The sequence below is a fragment of the Homo sapiens genome, chromosome 6 (assembly GCF_000001405.40).
Source record: "Homo sapiens chromosome 6, GRCh38.p14 Primary Assembly".
In the NCBI taxonomy this organism is placed as follows: Eukaryota; Metazoa; Chordata; class Mammalia; order Primates; family Hominidae; genus Homo; species Homo sapiens.
In genome coordinates, this window is record NC_000006.12 from 37,312,228 (window position 1) to 37,333,040 (window position 20,813).

The 20,813-nt window shown below is 46.2% G+C and overlaps 1 protein-coding gene across 6 annotated transcripts in view, besides 1 other annotated feature; it reads left to right on the forward strand.

Moving 5' to 3' along the window:
• Window positions 1-20,743, forward strand: part of TBC1D22B (TBC1 domain family member 22B) — a 75,199-nt gene extending 54,456 nt beyond the window's left edge. For 2 of the 6 annotated variants that reach the window (NR_130108.2, NM_017772.4), the window contains exons 9-13: window positions 691-797; window positions 1,589-1,664; window positions 4,476-4,603; window positions 4,884-4,979; window positions 18,817-20,743. Coding sequence is in view for 5 of the 6 variants with exons in the window: in NM_017772.4 (NP_060242.2) it covers window positions 691-797; window positions 1,589-1,664; window positions 4,476-4,603; window positions 4,884-4,979; window positions 18,817-18,945 (536 nt within the window). In the remaining variant the exon portion in view is untranslated. Of the gene's footprint in view, window positions 1-652; window positions 798-1,588; window positions 1,665-4,475; window positions 4,604-4,883; window positions 4,980-12,034; window positions 12,783-18,816 lie in introns of those variants that run through there. The other 4 variants (XM_011514738.4, XM_011514739.3, XM_047419000.1 and 1 more) reach the window with 4 other exon arrangements.
• Window positions 2,606-2,900: an enhancer, noted in NCBI's record as "tiled region #3623; K562 Activating DNase unmatched - State 5:Enh". NCBI's record gives its function as "activates a minimal TATA promoter and a strong SV40 promoter by Sharpr-MPRA in K562 cells {active_cell/tissue: K562}" and the evidence as "EXISTENCE:reporter gene assay evidence [ECO:0000049][PMID:27701403]".
• Window positions 20,744-20,813: the final 70 nt, after the last annotated feature.

Here is a 20,813-nt window from a genome sequence, read left to right on the forward strand (position 1 = left end):
GATGGGGATATCTAATGCAACATTTCTCAACCATATTTGTCTGTGGAACCCCCCCTTTTTTTTGAGTGTTCTGTAGGATTGATGTTTTGCAGAACCCATCTTGAGAAATACCATCTTGTTGGAATTAAGTCCTAGAAGCACTCACAGGCTTGACTCATCTTCCTTTACATGCATACCTTCTCTTTTGAGTGGCAAGACTGTGGGTCTGCCTTATCAGAACTTGGGAATTCCATCTTTAAAATAAACTGTGGGGGCTTTCTGATCCTAGCTGTTCTCCCTATATATGAGTGTGAGTGTGCTAGACAGCTCACTGAGCTGAAATCAAAGAAATTTTCCAGGCCATCTTCAGGGATCTGAGTATAATTCATTGAACATGAGACCTGAAGTATCATTTTCTAAAACTGAACGAACAAATGCCAAGGAAGAGAAAGATATGTTGGACCTGATGGGACTAGCATGAGAAATGGCCTGTCCAGTGTTGTAGTGAGATCTTCAAGAACAAATATGTTCTTGAAGGGACATATTTGCCCACCTGACACAGACAGTAGAGGGGCAGGCCCTTGTTTCTTAACATCAGGTTAGCCTGGTCCTCACTTGGCCTTAAAGACCCCATTGAAGACACTCGAATCTATCTTTCTCTCTCCATTTTTAGATAAGACCTCTGGACTTTCTTCACCTTTTGTTTTACAGAAGAGGATGTGGAGAACTTTGACGTGACCAACTTGTCTCAAGACATGCTGCGAAGCATTGAGGCTGACAGCTTTTGGTGCATGAGCAAGCTGCTGGATGGAATCCAGGTGAGCTGCTTCTGCCCTTGTGGGAACAAACGTCTAGGTCCAGAGGCTCCCAGCAGGGCTTTGGTTTCTTTCTTGCTCTTCTGTATCAGGCAGGACCACCCACCCACCCACTATGGCTCCTCCTCCTTTTCATCCATCTCTATCCTTCTTCATTGGCTTTACAGCTTTCAAACAGCAATGGTGGGTCGGGCACGGTGGCTCACGCCTGTAATCCCAACACTTTGGGAGGCCAAGACTGGAGGATCGCTTGAGCTCAGGAGTTCAAAACCAGCCTAGGCAACATAGAGAGACCCCTTCTCTACAAAAAATTTTAAAATTAGCCAGGCGTGGTGGCGTGTGCCTATAGTACCAGGTCCTCAGTGGGCTAAGGTGGGAGGATCACTTGAGCCTAGGAGGTCAAAGCTGTAGTGAGCCATGATCACACCACTGCACTCCAGCCTGGGCGATAGAGTGAGACCCTATCTCAAAAAAAAAAAAAACAAAACAGTGATGGTGTAGTGTCCCTTGGAGTCTGCAGAAATCTCCATGTTGCCTTGACTTCGTCTTTGGAGTAGACTGCTCCTTTCTGCTCTGTACCCCAAGCACATGGGTTTGCTTCCACACTGCAGGGCTCCATTGGGCTTTCCCCCAACACTGTTGTTCTGTAGATTTCTTTGTTTCCCAGAACACTGTCACTGGCCATTGGTACTAGCTTTGGAAAATGGCCTGAACTTCTAAACGTGTTTCAGTGAATGTCAGGTGATAACACAAGTTAGAGTCCATGTTCATCCTGGGCTCTGTGTCATTTGCAGGATAACTACACCTTTGCACAACCAGGAATCCAGAAGAAGGTGAAGGCACTGGAAGAGCTTGTCAGCCGGATTGATGGTAGGTTCAGAGGGAGAAGAGTTCTCTAGCAATAGCAGAGTTGATTCTGTTATGAGGCGGTTGTGCTTGTGGGTCCTCTCCTCAGCTGTCTTCCTAGCCATGACCCTTTCCAGCGCACTGAGTGCTGCTGGCAGCACCGGGATCCTTCCACATCTCAGCAGGAAGGTGAAGTGAGAACTGTGCTGTTATATCAAGTTCTTCTTTCCCCTTGGTTTCCTATCACCAGGCTCTATCGGTTCTCCTTCAGCAGCTCTCTTCAGTACGCCCGTTCCCCACTTCCCCAGCCACAGCTCTGGTCCAGCTTCCTCCTCAGAGGGCTTGCCTTCTCCATACTCTTCTCTTCCAAACTATCTGTCACGCAATTGCATCTTTCTGCAGCTCTGTTCTGGCCACGTCCCTCTTCTGCTCTGAAGCCTCCCATAGCTCTCCATTGCCTTCAGCATCCAGCCTGTCGTCCGGCCTTGTCCTTCACGTTATGATGTAACTCATAACTCCTGGGCTTGATATGGGGTCCTCAGGCCTGGCTGATACCCCAGCAGGACTTTATACAGCTTCCCAGGACTTGTGTGGGGTGGGGAAATTGAGATGTGGCTCTTCCTAAGGCACATGTCTTTGAGGAACAGCCTTACAGGAATTCCTCAGCTTTGGCCTAGAGTCATAGAATGTTAGAACGAAAGGACAACTCAGGAAGCTCTGCTGTTGACTGATGTTTAAGTGAGGCATGGGGAGAGAAGTCGGTGGGATCTCTAACACTAGTGAAGTTGTAGTAGCTCCCATAGGACTCTGCCTGTCCTGACACCAGCTAACAAATGTTATTCCCAGGCTTTCCTACTCATTGGATTTTCTGCTTCACCCAAGCAAAGCCTTTCTCCCTTACCTGCTGCCCACCCCCACCCCCAACATTGTATATCTTTCTCTCTTCTTTCCCAGGTTCTCTTTTCATGAAAACCTTCATTGAGTTGTTCCACTCACTCTATTTTATGACTTAGCATTTCAATCTTCTGAACCCATTTGTTTATTCACAGTTACTTCCCGTATGTCACATGTGGAATTTTTTTTCCGCTGTGTCTTATCACCCTGGCCCAGCTGTTAGCCCTCACGTTTGGGCCCCTTGTGCAGGTCTCTTGACATCCCTCAACCGGAGCCTAGCACAGAGTGTATGCTGCCCTCTTCTGGGGGATAAGCTGGCTGCCAGAGGCTGGTCATCAATCAAGTTTCAACAGGCAGATGCTGTGGTTTCTGCCACTGTCTGCCCTATCCTTATTTTTTCCGCCCTTACAAATACGTGATACATAAAGGCATAATACTTTGGAATAGTGGATTTTTAAGTATATATATCTTGGATGTTTCTTTGCATTGTAGAAGTAATACTTCCTCATTAAAAAAATTTAAACAGGCTGGGGACGGTGACTCACACCTGTAATCCCAGCCGAGGCAGGAGGATCACTTGAGCCCAGGAGTTCAAGACCAGCCTGGGCAACATGGTGAGACCCCATCTCTACAAAAAATTTAAGAAGTAGCTGGGCATGGTGGCACACGACTGTAGTCCCAGCTACTCAGGAGGTTGAGATGGAAGGATCACTCGAGCCCAGGAGGTCAAGGCTACAGTGAGCCAAGATCGCACCACTGTATTCCAGCCAGGGTGATAAGGTAGGAATCCTTCCTCTCCTTAAATTCTTCTCCCCAGAAATAACTTGTTTTTTGAGATGGAGTCTTGCTCTGTCGCCCAGGCTAGAGTGCACTGGTGCGATCTTGGCTCACTACAGCCTTGACCTCCTGGCTCAAAGGATCTTCCCACCTCAGCCTCCTGAGTTGCTGGAATTATAGGTGCGCACCATGACGCCTGGCCAATTTTTGTATTTTCAGTAAAGACAGGCTTTTGTCATGTTGCCTAGCCTGGTCTTGAGCTCCTGGGCTCAACACTCCGCCCACCTCGGCCTCCCTAAGTGCTGGGATTACAGGTGTGAGCCACAGCACCTGGCCATAACCATTGTTAATAGTTCTTCTTTCAAGAATTGTTTGAAATATTTACCACATTCCAGGTGCCATTGTAAGCACTTTACTTGTGTGTTCTCATTTATCTTCCCTGAAACCCTCTGAGGTGTGAATGATTATTCCCATTTTATAGGGTAGGAAACTGAGGACAGTAATTTAGAAAACAATCCCACTAAGCATTATTTGGAGAGCTGTCCTGTGGAACAGCAATCAGGTTTGTTTGGGCTTGCCTGAGAATATCACACGAACACCAAAGGGTGGGAGTGAGGAGGCAGCTGGTTTTGTTGAATATGGTGAAGCGCTTTCTGGTGAATCACTTCATACATCAGTGGAAGAGGCTTCCCTTGAGTGGAGTTTGTGAGCCCCTTTCGCTGGCAGTGTTCACATCCCTGCTGGCTAGCCATCTGGCGGGGATGCTGAAGAGGAGTTCCTCGCCAGTAGGAGGGTGGCCAAGGTGACCTCCATGGTTCTTTTCAGTTCTGGCTTCTTCTCTGATGAGTACTAAGGTTGAGCAGCCAAGTGAACCTCATTATCCTCTGCTTTGTGGCCAGAGCGGCCCCACAAAGGAAGCGGGGCTCCTAGAACATCACTGGGGGATGTTAAAATAGTTCTGTCTGCTGGGCTGAGTTAACCATGCAGTGTTGCTGTGAGATGATGGAATCAAACATAAAGGACAGTCAGATGGCTGTCTGCCTCCTCTGTGTCTGCTTACCCATGGGAGGGGGCAGTAAGAAGTGGGAGCTGCTATTTTGGCTCCTGTGGCCCTTTCAGGGTCCAGTCCCCTAGGTTGATCCCCAATGATGCTTCCTGTTTCAGAGCAGGTACATAATCACTTCAGGAGGTACGAGGTAGAATACCTGCAGTTTGCCTTCCGCTGGATGAACAACCTGCTTATGCGGGAGCTTCCTCTTCGCTGCACCATCCGCCTGTGGGACACATATCAGGTAGGAGGGATTCCCCGGCCTCTCTGTGCCAGGCTGTCTCTGAGGTGTCCAGCTCTCTGCCATGTTGTGGAATGTAGCTGCTTAGAAGCTTCCCCTTCTCCTCTTTTCTACTTCCATGTCTGCTTTAGCCTCAGGGCAGGGCCTTTGCTAAGTCTCTTCAGAACTCCATCTCCCCAACCGTGAAAGAGTTTCCCACCTCCCAGAAGGAATGGAACTGAGAGGACCAGAGCTGAATCTTTGTCAGGGCTGGGAGACCTAACTCTATTTTTCTGCTTCCCAGTCTGAACCAGAAGGGTTCTCCCACTTTCATCTCTACGTGTGTGCAGCCTTCTTGATCAAGTGGAGGAAAGAGATCTTGGATGAGGAGGATTTTCAGGTGAGTGGCCAAGAGCTTAGTGTGGGCAGGGAATGAACATTAGAATGGGAGTTAGCCCCTCAGTGGGCAGTGCAGACAGAAGGTGCCATAGCAGGTACCTGGCTGGGAGTAGGAAGGGAGAAGGGGTGCTCTGAAGGGGTCGTCCCTCTTAGTTGGCAGGAAGTCACTGGAGCCCAGGGGTTCTTCAGTGTGAGAAGGGTGTTTGTGCCAGAATGGCTGCAGAGTGACTGGGCAGGCCTAAGAGATCTTTCAGTCATTCACTGACAAGCATTTATTGAATGCTTGCTACATGCCAGCACTGTCAAAGACAAAGGCTATATTAAGAAGTGAAACAGAGAGGTCTCTGTTCTCATAAAGCTTACGTACTCTGATAGTTGTGGGGAGACATACAGTAAATAACATCATAGTAAATAGTAAATTGAAAAGAATGTAAAGGTGCTAAGAAATAATATTTTTTTAAAAAGTAGAGCAGGGTAAAGGTTTTATTAGGTGGTAGAGAAGGGACAGGTTGCAATTTCGAATAAAGTAGTCTTGATAGGTTCACTGAGAAGGTAACATCTGAGCAAAGACCTGGGGAAGGTGAAGGAGCAAGCCACGTGGACATCAGCAGGAAGAGTGTCTAGGCAGAGGAAACAGCCAGTGCAGGGGCCTCAGGCAGCAGCATGCCTGAGCTATGGAAGGAATCATGACGGTCACTGGTGTGGCCTGGAGCAGAGTGATCCAAGGGAAGAATAGGAAGAGGTGAGGTCAGAGGAGTCACAGGGACCCAGATCACAGAGGACTTTGTAGCCACTGTAAGAACTTTGGCTTTTACTCTGAGTGGAAGAGGAACTCTAAGAGCCATGAGTAGAGGAGAGTGGCACAATCTGACTTAGTTTCAGTAGGGCCACCCTGGCTTCTATGTAGACTGTAGGTGTGGGCAAGAGTGGAAGCAGAGACCACCCAGGATGCTACTGTAATCCTCCAGATGAGACATGAAGGTGGTAGGACCTGGATAGTGACAGTGGAGGTGTGAGAAGTGGCCAGATTTTGGATCTGTTTAGTAAGTAGAGCCAACAAGATTTCCTGATGAATTGGGTGTAGAGTACAACAGAAAGGGGTGAGTCTGGATGGCTTTACAGTTTATGGAGAAGGCTACAGGATGGCTTTATGGTTTATGGAGAAGGCTACAGTGGGGACAGCAAGAGTCCAGCTTCAGCCATATTGGATTTGAAGTACCATTAGACGTCTAAATAGAGATGCAGACTAGGCAAATATATCTTGAGTTTGGAGTTTGAAAGAGAGATCTGGACTGGACCTATAAATTTAGGAGCCTTTGCCTAGATGCTGCTTAAAGCCGACACACTGGATGAGATCCCTAAGGAAGTAAGGATGGACAGAGAAGGGGACCAGGGCCCAGCCTTGACACACTCTTATATGACTACATGAAGAGGTCAGGGAGCAGAGGTGGCTGAGAGGGGATGACCAGCAAGAGTACAGCCTCCTGGAACCCCTGGGTGGGGGTGCTTCAGAGTCCCTATGTAGAAAACTCAAGAAGGGCCTATGTTAGGTGGTGGGTAGGCTAGGAGCTGTTCCAGGGTCAGGGAAATAAGGATTGAGGAGATTGTCAGGCTCTCCAGAGAGAATCATTAGGGTTGGGGGTGGCGAGTGTATTGCTTTTATGCTTTGCACGTTTCTGAACTGAGAGGTTTTTTGGTTTGTTTGTTTTTAATAGGTATATACCTCTTTTAAAAGCAGGGGGAAAAGCCAGAGAAAGTTGAATGCTTTTCTAAGTTCTAACTAATAACATAGATGTTCTGAAGAGTGGCAGCGTCTCCATGTGATCCCTGAGCATTACCACTCTGTGATTGGTGTTAGGGGGCAAAAGAACAGAAGACTATTTAGTAGATAGATGGAAAGACAGGACCCAGCTTGCCCAAGTAAGGGCTTTGGAAGAAAAAGGAGAGCAGATGCATTGACTTCTGTGAGTAGATGCTAGCCATGGTGCCGAGGCTTCAGGCCACTGATTAAGAACCATGGCTTCTGCCAGTGAGCAGCATGTGTGGCATTCCAGGATAAATGAGGACAAGGGGCTGGAATGGCTGTATGCTGGGATGAGCTATCCATTTGGATAATGTGGTTGAGGTGGAGCCGGATAGTAAGAGCATGAAGTTTAATTTAGTTATCATGAGCCAGGCTCAGAGCTTTGCCATATGTGATAAAAGTGCTTCCCAGATCAGCTCAGGGAGGTGCAGATGATTCCTGGAATGGCTTTTAGCAGTTCACAATATCGGCAGAACAGAGGACAATACTCTGTGACTTTACAGCTATGTTAATCCTAGAGATATTCTTTACTGGGTAGCATTTTCAATTATCTGGTAGGTCTGAGGCCTTTTGGCAATACCCAACAGAACAGCATTGGAGGCTATTGTCTGCTGCTGTATTAACACCTCGATTAATCCTGTTTGTGGAAGAGTCTCACATCTTTCTTTTAGACAAAATAGAATGGGCGATTAAACTGGATAAGGTGAAAAGTTCCTCCCACCTCCATAGTTCTAAAATTCTATGAATGATAAAAGAAGAAAATGTGCCTGGGTGTTAGGCTAGACAGGCAGTGTCCTTTAGGAGACAGAATCATGGCAGAGGTGTGAGGAACAAGGGCACAAAGCATTGTGTAAGGTTGTGAACTGTTGGGTGTGACTTTTGCAGAGAAAGTAGGCACATGTATCCTAACTGCTGAAGGGCTGCTTGTAGTGAAATCACTGTGAAGGAAGCTCTGTAGATGAATACAGGTATTGTAAAAAACCAAACATGTCCAGCCTAGGAGAGAAGTTTTAGGGCTAAAAGCCACGTTAAGTGACTCAGAGAAAAACCAGCTGAAGTGGTTACAGAAATAAAAGTGGTAGTTGCAGCAGTTTTAGCAGACCAGCAAACTGGTTACACTTGAAGAACAGGGAAAAAGAGCCAGATATAAAGGGAGCCAGTAAGGGGTTCAGAGAGGAAGCAGATATCTTCCTGTCAAGGTTAGGGACTGTGCAGAGTAGTACAGTGGTTAAACCATGGTCTTTGGAGCCAGACTGCCTGGGGTCGGATCCCAGCTCTCACACTTTCCTAAACATGCAGCTGTAAGTAAGTAACTTGTTTCTCTGTGCCTCCGTTTTCTTATCTATAAATGGGGCAATAGTACCTACCTCCTTGGGCTATGATGAGAATAAAGAAACAAATACATGTGAGACAGTTAGAATAGTGTACTTGATATATAGACCTCGAAACAGTGAGCTTATTATCATTAATATTAATACTTCCTTTAGTGTATTCACGAGTCCTGGAAGCAATGAGGCGAGCTTTAAAAACCCACTTTTCTAATTAAGTGGTTTTTAACATAATGAGTAAACCATACAAGGTTCATACTGAGGGAAACTGGTTTGGAGAGGAGGCATCAGAGTACACAGGGGCAAAGGGCTGGGTCCCAGCTGCGACAAAAGCCCCCAGCAGGAAGGGTGCGTGCTTCTCCCTGGCCAAGCAGTTGTCTAGGGCCGCTGCCTGGCAGAGAGGACCAAAAACTGACAAAGGAGATCACACTGAGAGGTTTCCTTCCTGAGACCGCTGGGCAAAGGAGCCTGAGGCACATTTGCACATAGTACTCTGGGAGCAGAATGGCTGGATCCTCCGGGCCCGTGGCAGCTTGAAATGCGAGCTGCCAGCAGAGCTGGGCCAAAGCCTCTTTTGTGGTAGGTGGGGACTCTTGACAATTCCTGCCCTCAGCCTGGGCTAGTGTAATAGAATCATAATAATATGTTAGGTTGAATCATATGCAGTTGTTTTTGTAGATTAAAATGGTTGAATATTGGCAATTTCGTGAGGCTCAATCTAATAGCAGCTAATTCTTAGCACTTTGAATATACAGGCACTATTCTAAATGTTTTCCTGTGTTAATTCATTTCATCCTTGCAACAATCCTACAAGGTAGGCTATAATACCCCATTTTACAAATGGGGAAACTGTCATAGCAAGATTTTTTTTTTTTAAGTAACCAGGCCAAGGTCACCTGAGTGAGTGATAGAGGCCTGGAATCCACTCTCTGAACCACTGTGCTTTGCTGCCTGTCAGTCCCAGGCCTGCCAGATGCTTCCTGGAGCTCTTGAGCTAAACTTACATGGTGGCTGTTCCCAGGCAAGGATCTGCTTAGGTTTCCACCTCCCTCAAGATTTCTTCTTCCCCATCTCTCCCCCTACATTGGAGGTTGCTAGCAGGCTTTCTTCTCACAAAGAAACATTTAGCAACAACAACAAAAACTTGTTGTTTTAAAACTGAAAAAGAATTCCTCCCAGGGTCTTCCTTGTGACCTCCTCCTATTCTGGCTTCTGGGTTTTTCTCCTTCCACTGCCAGAAAGATCTGTGATCTCCTGCTGCCCTTTCATGCTCTCCCTCCAAGTGGCCTGAAATCACCTAACACACATCCCTGGGGAAAGCAGAGGCTCTAATGCTCCAGGGTGGACTGCAGCAGGGAGCCCCCAGGGCTGGTGCAGGTTATGGGTGAAGAGCAGCTCTGGGCCTGTCTGTGGAGTCCTAGAGCCTGCTTGGGCCCTTGTGGAGCTCTCAGGCTTCTGTTAGATCAGTGGCTGGGGAGGCCGTGTTGACTGGGGAGGAGCATGAGTCTCTGAGACACAAGAAGTGTTCTCTGTTTTCATCTGGGTGGTGGTTAATTGGGTGTGTACTTATGTAAAAAGTCATCAACCTGCATGCTTAAGATTTATGTCATGAGTCCACCCTCAAAAGGTTGGGAGGAAAGTAAATGGTGGAGACAATGTAAGAGCGCTCGAACCTACCTACCAAATAGACAAATAGATGTTTTCTACCCATTTTGATGTGGGTCATTTTTACATAATCACAATTCATTACCACCATGTACAGTTGTGTACTACTAAGGAAGTGAATGGAGCTTCTGTTACCCAGCAGTGAGCCTGAAGAGGACTGTATCTGCCCAGAGGACAGGGCCATCTGGGCTAGCAATAGGAGGCCTGTCAGGGCCTCCTGTTGCCACTCTGGTCCTAGAAAAAGGAATTAAGAGGCCAGGCACGGTGGCTTATGCCTGTAATCCCAGCACTTTGGGAGGCCACGGCAGGCAGATCACCTGAGGTCAGGAGTTCAAGACCAGCCTGGCCAACGTGGTGAAACTCCGTCAGCCAGGTGTGATGGCACACACCTGTAATCCCAGCTACTCGGGAAGCTGAGGCAGGAGAATCGCTTGAACCTGGGAGGCGGAGATTGCAGTGAGCCGAGATCGTGCCAGTGCACTCCAGCCAGGGCAGCAAAGTGAGACTCTGTCTCAAAAAAAGAAAAAGAAAAAGGAAGTAAGCAAAGGGAACTTTTGAGGGAACAAGGCTGGAGCCTGTGAGTGCTGAGAGACCTGCTATCCCCATAGGTGTTTGTAATAAAAACATGTTTTTATTCCCAACACCCATTGGCAGAATATGCCATCAAGGCAGGTTGCAGTTGTCAGACTTGGGGAAGACTTCCCAAAGCAGATTAATGTCAGACCTCGGGACAGGAACTGGTTGAGTGAGTTCTGTGATGAGGAAAGGCGTGACAAGCCCCCTGTGGTCAGTGCAGCACCACATAATTACAACCCAAAACCAAGGGGTTACAACGGGGAGCAGGGGAACACCTCCAGAAGTCAAAAATTCACTGCACGTGTAGACGAGCATGAGCTGTGCCCAGTTGTGGGCACTTAGATGAGCAGCAGGCAGAAACTCTGTACAGAATAAAGCAACCCATAGGAGGCCTGAAAACTGACTCTAGGATAATATTTCTATGAAGAGCGTGTGCCTGAGTCAGAGGGGACAGGCGCCTGAGCAAATACCTGGTCACTCTATTCTAAAAAGTCATCTCGGGAAAGCAGCAGCAGCAGCAGCAGCAGCGAAGCCCAGAACATGGGAGCCCAGGAAGATGTCAGCAGGCGCCAGCAAGGCCTCAGAGGGCTCAGGATGGAATTTGAGAAGCACCATGCAGGGCACTCTGAGGACTAATAATCAAAGTTTCTTCAAATGCATAAAAAGATGCCAGTCGCAGTGGCTCATGCCTGTAATCCCAGCGCTTTGGGAGACTGAGGCAGGAGGATCGCTTGAGCCCAGGAGTTCGAGAGCACCCTGGGCAACATAGGGAGACCCTGTCTCTAAAAAAAATATTTAAAAATTAGCCAGGCATGGTGGCACACACCTGTAGTCCCAGCTACTTAGGAAGGTTGGGTGGGAGGATCATCTGAGCCAGGGAGGGCGAGGCTGCAATGAGCCATCAGTGGACAACAGAGTGAGTCTCAAATGAGTGAGTGAGTGAGTGAAATGACAAGGGGGTCAGCTGGAAGAAAATGTTGGAGAGATTCCCACTCTGAAGGTTTCTTTTGTAGGAGACAGGTCAGGGTTATTAAATAGTGCTAAGCCCATGGGATGTTCCAGACCTCAATAATAAAGTAAATGTAAATAAATCCCTTGAACCAGATGGCATCCACCCACCACTTCTGCAAGAACACAGGGGTGCGATTGTGGAACATTGCCGAATGGAGGCCCTGTCTTTACAGACATTTGGTGAATTGCCAGTTTGAATCCTTCACACAAGGGTTCAGAGGGAACCCTGGGAACTGAAGATCTTTCTGCCCAAAACAAGCTGGTGTGAGAAAGGGCACGGTTCCTAGACATGTGAACAAAAACAAGCCACTGAGGGGAACTCTGCACAGCTTTCTTTGAGAGGAAACTTTGCCAAATTCCTAGATTCAGGAAAAGCCAATGAATAAAAGTTTGACTCTCAACAAGCTTATATCATAGGGACATGTTTTTGAAAAGTTGTATAGGGACCAGAGGAAATGTTTTACTACCTCACTGATTCTCAGAATAGAAGAGGTTTGTTTTAAAGTATTTATTTGACTAGAAAGGCATTTTTACATGCTTGAATACACTATACATTTGCAAAGAAAGTTCCAGTACTGCAAAGTGATTCTAGATACAGTATCTTATTTAATAGCACATATTTAATGTTCTTTTGTTGCTCATCATTATACATCCTGTGTTTGGTTGTGCCAGCCCTTATTGCAGAGTAAAATTAGTCAACTCTTAGTCACCAGCTGGGTCACACTGGTGGCTGGGAAAGACCAAGAAGAGGCAGAGGAAGAGGTGGCACCGATGATAAAAATCCATTCAAGAATTTAGCTGTGACACATCTACAGCAGGTTCAAATCTCTCAGCTGTAAGACAAACTGGATACTTTATAAGGACTGTGGCCTATTATGCACCAAAATGCCTTACTGAAATTGTCTGGATGAGCTGCCTGCTGGGTCCAGTGATACATTAGTAAACGAAGAAGTTGAAATAGAAGGCTAACATATGCTTTGGATCGCTTGGCAGTGTGACACCAATATGGCATCAAGCCTTACTATGAGTCCAAGGACTTAATGACTAAATAAAAGTAAAAATGAACAAAAAAAAAAAGTGAATGCTTCTAGATTTCCTTCAAACAGCCTCTTTTATGACTTCTCTTCTTTTTGTTCCTTCTACTTTATGCCTTACTTCTCTTCTCACACCAGGGCAGGCAGTATATAGTCTAGTAATTATGAGCACATGCCCAGATTGGGCTCAAATCCCTGGCTAGCACTACCCTGTGACCCTAGGCAAGTTCCTTAACCTCTGTGCCTCAATTTCCTCATCTGTAAAATGGAAGTTAATATGTATCTCATAGAGTAGATGTAGGATTAAACAAACTAGTACAAAGTACATGTGAAACATCTAGAGCCCCATCTGTTATGTAATAAGTGCTCAATAAATAATAAATGCCGTTATACTGATTATCTTTGGTGTTCTTCCTCTTCCTCCTCAATTATTCTCCCACCTTTATTGGACAGTCTGCAGTGGAATTTTCCTATACCTTTCCCTTTTCAAAGTCTCTGCTTATTACCCATTATCTTTACCTTTGGCCTCTTACCTAATTGTTTTTTTTCCACCCATCACATGTGGCTCAAAGTCCTTCTCTGCCATATTGCCTTTTCCTGTGTGAATTTTCAGCAGGTACCTGTGCCTGGCCCTTTTCTGCTATTTCAGCCATTTCCAACTGTTTTCTACAAAGGGTGTTTGCTCCCTTTCTATTAATTGGGAATCTCTTTCTGATACTTGCCCTACAAGCTTTCTCCTCCTCCTGACTATAGTATCTCATCTGACTGCATGTGATACTTAAGTGCTCCCATGAACTGGCTTTGTAACAAATCTTCAGTTGTTCCCTGCCCCGGTAGTGTCTCTTCTCTGCCCCTAGATAAAAGCTCCTGATTTGTGATTAGCACCTTCATCCCCCAGCCATAATTATCGTTTCTACTTTTTTTTTTTTTTTTTTTTTTTTTTTGAGATGGAGTCTCACTGTGTCGCCCAGGCTGGAGTGCAGTGGCACAATCTTGGCTCACTGCCACCTCTGCCTCCCGGGTTCAAGCAATTCTTCTGCCTCAGCCTCCCATGTAGCTGGGACTACAGGGGCACGCCATGACGCCCAGCTAATTTTTTGTATTTTAGTAGAGATGGGGTTTCACCATGTTAGCCAGGCTGGTCGCGAACTCCTAAGCTCAGGCAATCCACCCAACTCTGCCTCCCAAAGTGAGTTTCTACTTTTTTAATCCACTGGGCAGGGTTTCCCATTGTTGCAGCATGAGGACAGCAGGTGGTAGACTAGGGTCGGGGCTAGAGGTGGGGATGTTGCAGTTTTAGGCATAGCCACCAGGTGGCAGAGTGGTTCCTTACGGCTAAGCATCACTTCCCTTGGGGGAAGTGGGGACATTCACTTGTGCAGGGGTGGAATTATTTGGAAGCTTTTGAGAGGTTTCTGTTAAGACTGGAAGAATTGGAAATTATAGGTAGATCTCATCTCAACAAAGAGTATTCTCGGCTGGGCGCGGTGGCTCACGCCTGTAATCCCAACACTTTGGGAGGCTGAGGCGGGCAGATTACGAGGTCAAGAGATCAAGACCATCCTGGCCAACATGGTGAAACCCAGTCTCCACTAAAAATGCAAAAATTAGCTGGGTGCAGTGGCGCGCACCTGTAATCTCAGCTACTCAGGAGGCTGAGGCAGGAGAATCGCTTGAACCTGGGAGTTGGAGGTTGCAGTGAGCCAAGATTGCTGCTGCACTCCAGCCTGGTGACAGAGTGAGACTGCGCCTCAAAAAAAAAAAAAAAAAAGTATTCTCTTCTAGAGAGCTATGTCCTTTGTTGGCTGTTCTTGTTTGTTATCAGTTTGCAAGTGTATGTAACCATCATAGAAAAATTTAGAAAATTCCAGTAAGAAATCTTAGGCTGGGCACAGTGGCTCACGCCTGTAATCCCAGCACTTTGGGAGGCCGAGGTGGGCAGATCCCGAGGTCAGGAGATTGAGATCATCCTGGCTTAACGGTGAAACCCCGTCTCTACTAAAAATAAAAAACAATTAACCAGGCATGGTGGCTCATGCCTGTAGTCCCAGCTACTCAGGAGGCTGAGGCAGTAGAATTGCTTGAACCTGGGAGGTGGAGGTGGTGGTGAGCCAAGATCATGCCACTGCACTCCAGCCTGGGTGACGGAGCGAGACTACGTCTCAAAAAAAAACAGAAAAAGAAATCTTACCACACAGAGGTGAATATCACAAATTTTAAAAAAATTGATTAGTATGCATTTTATTTTATGTATTAATATTTAAAACCATTATTCTGAGGAGATTGATGGGGTTCACCAGACAGCCCAAGAGTCTAAGGTACAGAAAAGACTGAGACCATTATAAAGAGAGCCTGCCTAACTTAGGATACAAGTGGTCTACCTGAGGAGAATGTTAGCAAAAAGAGGCAACACCTTTTCCAGTTGTTGTGGGATAGGGACATGGTGCGGGAAGGAGGTAGGAAGCAGCAGAGATGGGTAAAAGGGGCCAGAGGCCAGGGAGTACATGGTGGCATGGGGGTGGGGGCATGTAGTATGGTCCAAGGTCAACATTTTAAAAAATAAGTTGAGATAGGGCCGGGCGCGGTGGCTCGCGCCTGTAATCCCAGCACTTTGGGAGGCCGAGGCGGGCGGATCACGAGGTCAGGAGATCGAGACCATCCTGGCTAACACGGTGAAACCCCGTCTCTACTAAAAATGCAAAAAATTAGCCGGGCGTGGTGGTGGGCGCCTGTAGTCCCAGCTGCTCGGGAGGCTGAGGCAGGAGAATGGCGTGAACCCGGGAGGCGGAGCTTGCAGTGAGCCGAGATCGTGCCACTGCACTCCAGCCTGGGCGACAGAGCCAGACTCCGACTCAAAAAAAAAAAAAAAAAAAAAAAAAAAAATAAGTTGAGATAGAAATGATGGTTCTCTTTCAAACAAAACAAACAAAAAAAGCTTTGAGGCAGACAGGACTGAGGCCAGAATAGAACCAAGAGGGAATTACTCCTGTGAGAGGGGAATATTCCAAAGATGTTCCGATCAGCTAAAGGCAGAGTTTTTAAAAGCAGAGCATCTGCTGGCTTGAGTGAATATCAATAACTGGTTGAATAACTGGTCTGGTTGAGTGAATTTCCGTAATCATGTGACTGGAGGGGTTTGCCTGGAGGGTTGGAGAGAGCAGATGCCAGCAACCATGGAGGGGAGAGTGGGGACCTTGGGATGTGCACTCCTCCGGGGGTTCACCACCATCATGACGGCTTTGAGTTCTGTTCTTGGGCTTGGGGATCAAAGGGAAGACTTTGCATTAGCAAAGTTTGTTTTTTTTTTAAATGAGAATATTTAGTGCTGGTAGAGATCTAGGGAAATGGGCATTTTTCTGGAATATATTTTCTGGTTGAATGTTAAAGACCTTTAAAATGTTTGTGGTGGGCCAGGCGCGGTAGCTCATGCCTGTAATCCCAGCACTTTGGGAGGCTGAGGCGGGCGGATCACCTGAGGTCAGGAGTTCGAGACCAGCCTGGCCAACATGGTGAAACCCCATCTCTACTAAAAATACAAAAATTAGCCAAGTGTGATGGCTAATCCCAGCTACTCGGGAGGCTGAGGCAGGAGAATCGCTTGAACCTGGGAGGCGGAGGTTGCGGTGAACTGAGATTGTGCCACTGCGTTCCAGCCTGGGCAATAGAGCAAGACTCTGTCTCTAAATAAATAAATAGATAGATAGATAAAAATAAAATGTTTATGCCCTTTGAAATAGTAATTTCATTTCTAGGAATTTGGCTTAGGGAAATAATCCAAGATAAGGCTTTGTGCATAAAGATGTTCATTATAATTTTTTATAGTGAAAAACCAGAAATAATTAAATGCTCAAAACAGGAGGATGTAAATTCTGGTACATCTTACATCATGGAAAATTCTTTGGATATTGAAAATATCTACAAGGAATTTTTAATATTAGAGGAAATGCTTACGGTAAATGTTGCATAGATTCAAAATTATGTAGAGAAAATATTTCAAGTATGTAAAATATGTAGGAAAAGGACTGGAAGGAAATATGCCAAAATGTTTTAAAATGGCTTCCTCTTGATCGTGAAGTTATGGGTAATTTATTTTCTGTTTTTTTTTTACTTTTTAGTAAACAAAATTTCCACAGAGTAGCTTCACCCAGGCTGGAGTGTAATGGCGTGATCTCGGCTCACTGCAACCTCCGCCTCCCAGATTGAAGCAGTTCTCCTGCCTCAGCCTCCCAAGTAGCTGGGACTACAGGCGGCCACCACAATGCCTGGCTAATTTTTGTATTTTTAGTAGAGACGGGGTTTCACCATGTTGGCCAGGCTGGTCTCAAACTCCTTACCTCAAGTGATTGGCCCACTTCGGCCTCCCAAAGTGCTGGGATTACAGGCATGAGCCACTGCGCCCAGCCCAGAGTAGTTATTACTAAAAAAAAAAGTTATTTCATAACACAATAATACACAAATATTTTATAAGATACATAAATATAATGAGAGAAAAGTGAAAGGCTTCCCTCCCAAAGGGTAACCACTGTGAACAGTTTCCCACTTCTCTAAAATGTTTATGTGTACATGTACATATACAAATATATTGTTGTGTTTTTTCTTTTACCTAAGTGGGATCATACTGTAAATATTGTTCTGCAACTGCCTTTTTTATCCTTTCCAAAATGTCTTCTTTATCTTCATATACTGATACATGTAGACCGGCTTCGCTTGTTTCAAGTGCTGCCTTGCATCTCATGATGCAGATAATCCATGGTTTATCTCACCATTCCCATATTGCCAGACGCTTTTCTAGTATCCTTTCTCCACTATTTGAAGCAATGATGCAGTGAATACCTTTGTACACACAGTAGTGTGACTATTTCCCTAGGATAGAGAGTTAGAAGCAGAGTTGCTGGATGAAAGACCATGTGCATTTCTTATTTTGATAGATATGGTATGTATTTGTTAAGATGATATAAACTTGTCTACTGTAACCAAGACCTCAAAATAACAGTGGCTTAAAACAAGAGAGTTGTTTATTTCCCTTCAACTAACAGTCTAAGTGTAAGCAGTCCAGGGCTAACATTATGGTTTTGGAGTGTTAGGGACTCTGATTTGTCTTATTACTCTGCCATCTTCAACACATGCTTTAACTTTATGGTCTAAGATGATCACTTCTACTCCTCCATTCATATCCATTTTCTAAGAGGGAGAGAAGTTTAGAGCAAAACCTAGAAGTTACACCTATCATTTTTGTTCACATCCAGAATTGGCCAGAACCTAATCGTATTGGCCACACATAGCAGTGATGTGCATTGGGCAGTTTTGTGCCCAGCTACACTTCTAGTACTAAAGGAAGAAATCTCATAAAGGATGCACAAGACCTTTACACTGAGAACTGCAGAATGCTGCTGGAGTATTCGGATCAGCTAGGAGCAGGGTTTGTAAGTCATCATAGTGTGAGTGGCCACTGGCATTAGTGCGTTAGCTATTCACATTGCTAGTCTGTTTTCCCATTTGGCTGTTTGCCTTCTTTCTTACTGATTTGTAGGCAGTCCTTATGGATTACATATATTAACCTTTTATCTTCTATAGATGTTATAAATATTTTGTCCGTTTCTTTTTTTTTTTTTTTTTTTTTTTTTTTTTTTTTTTGAGACAGAGTCTCACTCAGTCGCCAGGCTGGAGTGCAGTGGCGCGATCTGGGCTCCCTGCAACCTCCGCCTCCCAGGTTCAAATGATTTTCCTGCCTCAGCCTCCCAAGTAGCTGTGACTACAGGCGTGTGCTACCTTGCCTGGCTAATTGTTTGTATTTTTAGTAGAGACAGGTTTCACTGTGTTAGCCAGGATGGTTTCGATCTCCTGACCTCGCGATCCATCCGCCTCAGCCTCCCAAAGTGTGGGATTACAGGCGTGAGCCACCGCGCCTGGCCTATATTTTAACTTTGTCAAAGGATCACTTGAGCCCAGGAGTTCAAGGCTGCAGCAAGCTGTGATTGCGTCACTGCACTCCAGCTTGGGTGACAGAGCGAGATCCTGTCTCAAAAAAAAGTCATAATTATTGTTACAACTATTTAAAGAAATATGCATGTGAAGAAAAGACTGAAAATGAATACTTTAAGATTAAGAGAGGTATATTTGGATAAGTGATTATTTTTCTCTCTTAAAAATCTTTATTGTTGTCATTCCCTATTTATGTTTTTTATGTTTTTAAAGAGACAGGTGTTAGTGGACTAGAGAATCAGCAGAGGCTTTCAAGACCTCCTGAGGTGAACTAGGACTGAAAGCTGTGTACTGTTTGGGAGGAAGGAGGCTGGACTCTTTGAGATGTGTGAGCCAGGAGGAAGGGGCCCCATTCTAGGCCTTGGTCTCTAAGAATGGGTTCACTTGTCTGATGGTCTACGGTCTGGTATGATATAAAAGTCCTTTCTTGCATTCCAGGGTCTCCTCATGCTGCTACAGAACCTACCTACAATACACTGGGGCAACGAAGAAATTGGGCTGCTTCTCGCCGAGGCATACAGACTCAAGTACATGTTTGCCGATGCCCCAAATCACTACCGCCGATAGGTGCTGTCTCCTCCGGGGACCCAGACTGCCTTCATCTCTGATGGCAGTCTGATCACTGTGGCCACTGTGCGAGCCGTGGACCCCGGCCAGGAACCACTCCTGTTGTACAAAGCTCACACCCACCGCCCAGGTCTTAACTTTCTGGCATCCACCACTCCATGTCTCTGGATGTGTCACTTGGACCACTGTCAGTATTCCATGCCGCGTGGATGGGCCCAGTTCTGGGAGAGGACAGAAAAGGTGGTACAGGGTTGTCTGCCCCTTTAAAAGAAACTGGACAAAGAAGGGGAAGGCTCAGGGTCTCACCTCACATTGTCCCTACAAGGACAGGCCCCAACTGATAACCGTTGCTTTTTTTTTTTTGTGAACATAGTTTGATTTGATCACAGGTCAAAAACGCCTTATATTTTCGAAAGACTCCTGGCCCCTCTTCCCTCTTCCTGGTTTCCTAGCCGTTCCCCTTCTGCCCCAGTCTGAGCCAGTGAGGGGTAGCTTTTTAAAACCATTATTCTAGATGGAGGAGGCACTGATGCTTGTAACTCTGGAAAGAGGCCTACACCCAAGGGCTAGGAATTTTATTTTTCCTTTTCTCACCAGGTGTCTGCATGTGTGTGTGGGTGTGAATGTGTATACATGCCCATCAGCATTTAGTCACATGTCTGAATTTCTGTGTCCAGACGAGCCCCATCAAACTAGTTGGGAAGGGCCCCAGTGACCAAGTGTATAAGCATCCCTTGAAGAGGGATTGGGGCAGGGGAGGCAGAAGGGGCTCTCCAGACCCCTTTTCCATGATGACCCACTCCAAGATATTATGTGTAAATTGTGTTATTATGTATATGGGTAAAGATGTACAAATATATGTCCTCTTTGTAGCAGATATGATTTTATATTTATAATGTGCATCAACATGTGAAAGCAATCTAGGTCACTAGCACAGAGGAAGTTGCCAGGAAGGTGGCTTCAGCACCTCCAGGTTGGTTCTGGGTGTCCTGCTGTGAGGGGTAGAACGGGAGGCTGCTGAAGTGAGTAGCTGAGCAGCTGGAGCCATCCCAAGCATCAGTGTCTCAGAGTCCTCCTCGCCCCTTTCTTCACCCCGCCCCCCAACCCCCAGACTTTCCTGGAGCATCTGCCCTTTGCTCCTAGCAGCCTCCCCAGGAAGGGACTGCAGAGGCGGGCAAGCCCTCTCTATGTGTTTTTATCCCCACCTTCCCCGGAATCTGGGGAGGGCTTTTGTTTTTACGTTTTCAAGTTCAGCATTGTATTCGGACAGAAGCTGTGACTGAAGACTCAGTGCCAAGGAAAGGGGCTTCTTGTGTGTCCCTCGGGTTTGGGGCTCTTCTCAGAGAGCAGCACTCCATATCCCTTACTGTCACCTTCACTCCCCACACAGCTCATGAGATGTGTGACCCCTGTTTGAGTTTTGGTATTTGGTAGTGGAGGGTGGGGGGATGGGGGCCAGCAGCTGTCATCCTCCTGGGAAGCCGAGCAGTGTCCCTGGTGGGTAACACCCTCAAGTCTCTTTGCCAGTGAGGCCCCACCACATCGGTGTGAGTTAGGTTTCTCATCTGGAGCTGTTTCTCAGGCATTCTTCCCAACCCTCTTCCTTTTCCCCTTCGGTGTGCCTCAGTGGTCTCCTTCATAGAGTGAGAGGGCTTGAGACCCTCCCTCAACCGGACTAATTAAAGAAAGACACTTGTGTTCCCAAGTGGTGGTTTTATTTTTTTAGTTTTTATGTTTGTATGGGAAATTGTGGATAAAGTGAAAAGAATTGTAAATAAATGGTGTATTTCCTCCTCCATCTGCTGGTTTTTCTCCTGTATGTGTCCATGGAACCTAAAGAGTCTCCTCTTTTTGAGTTTTTCTTGCTG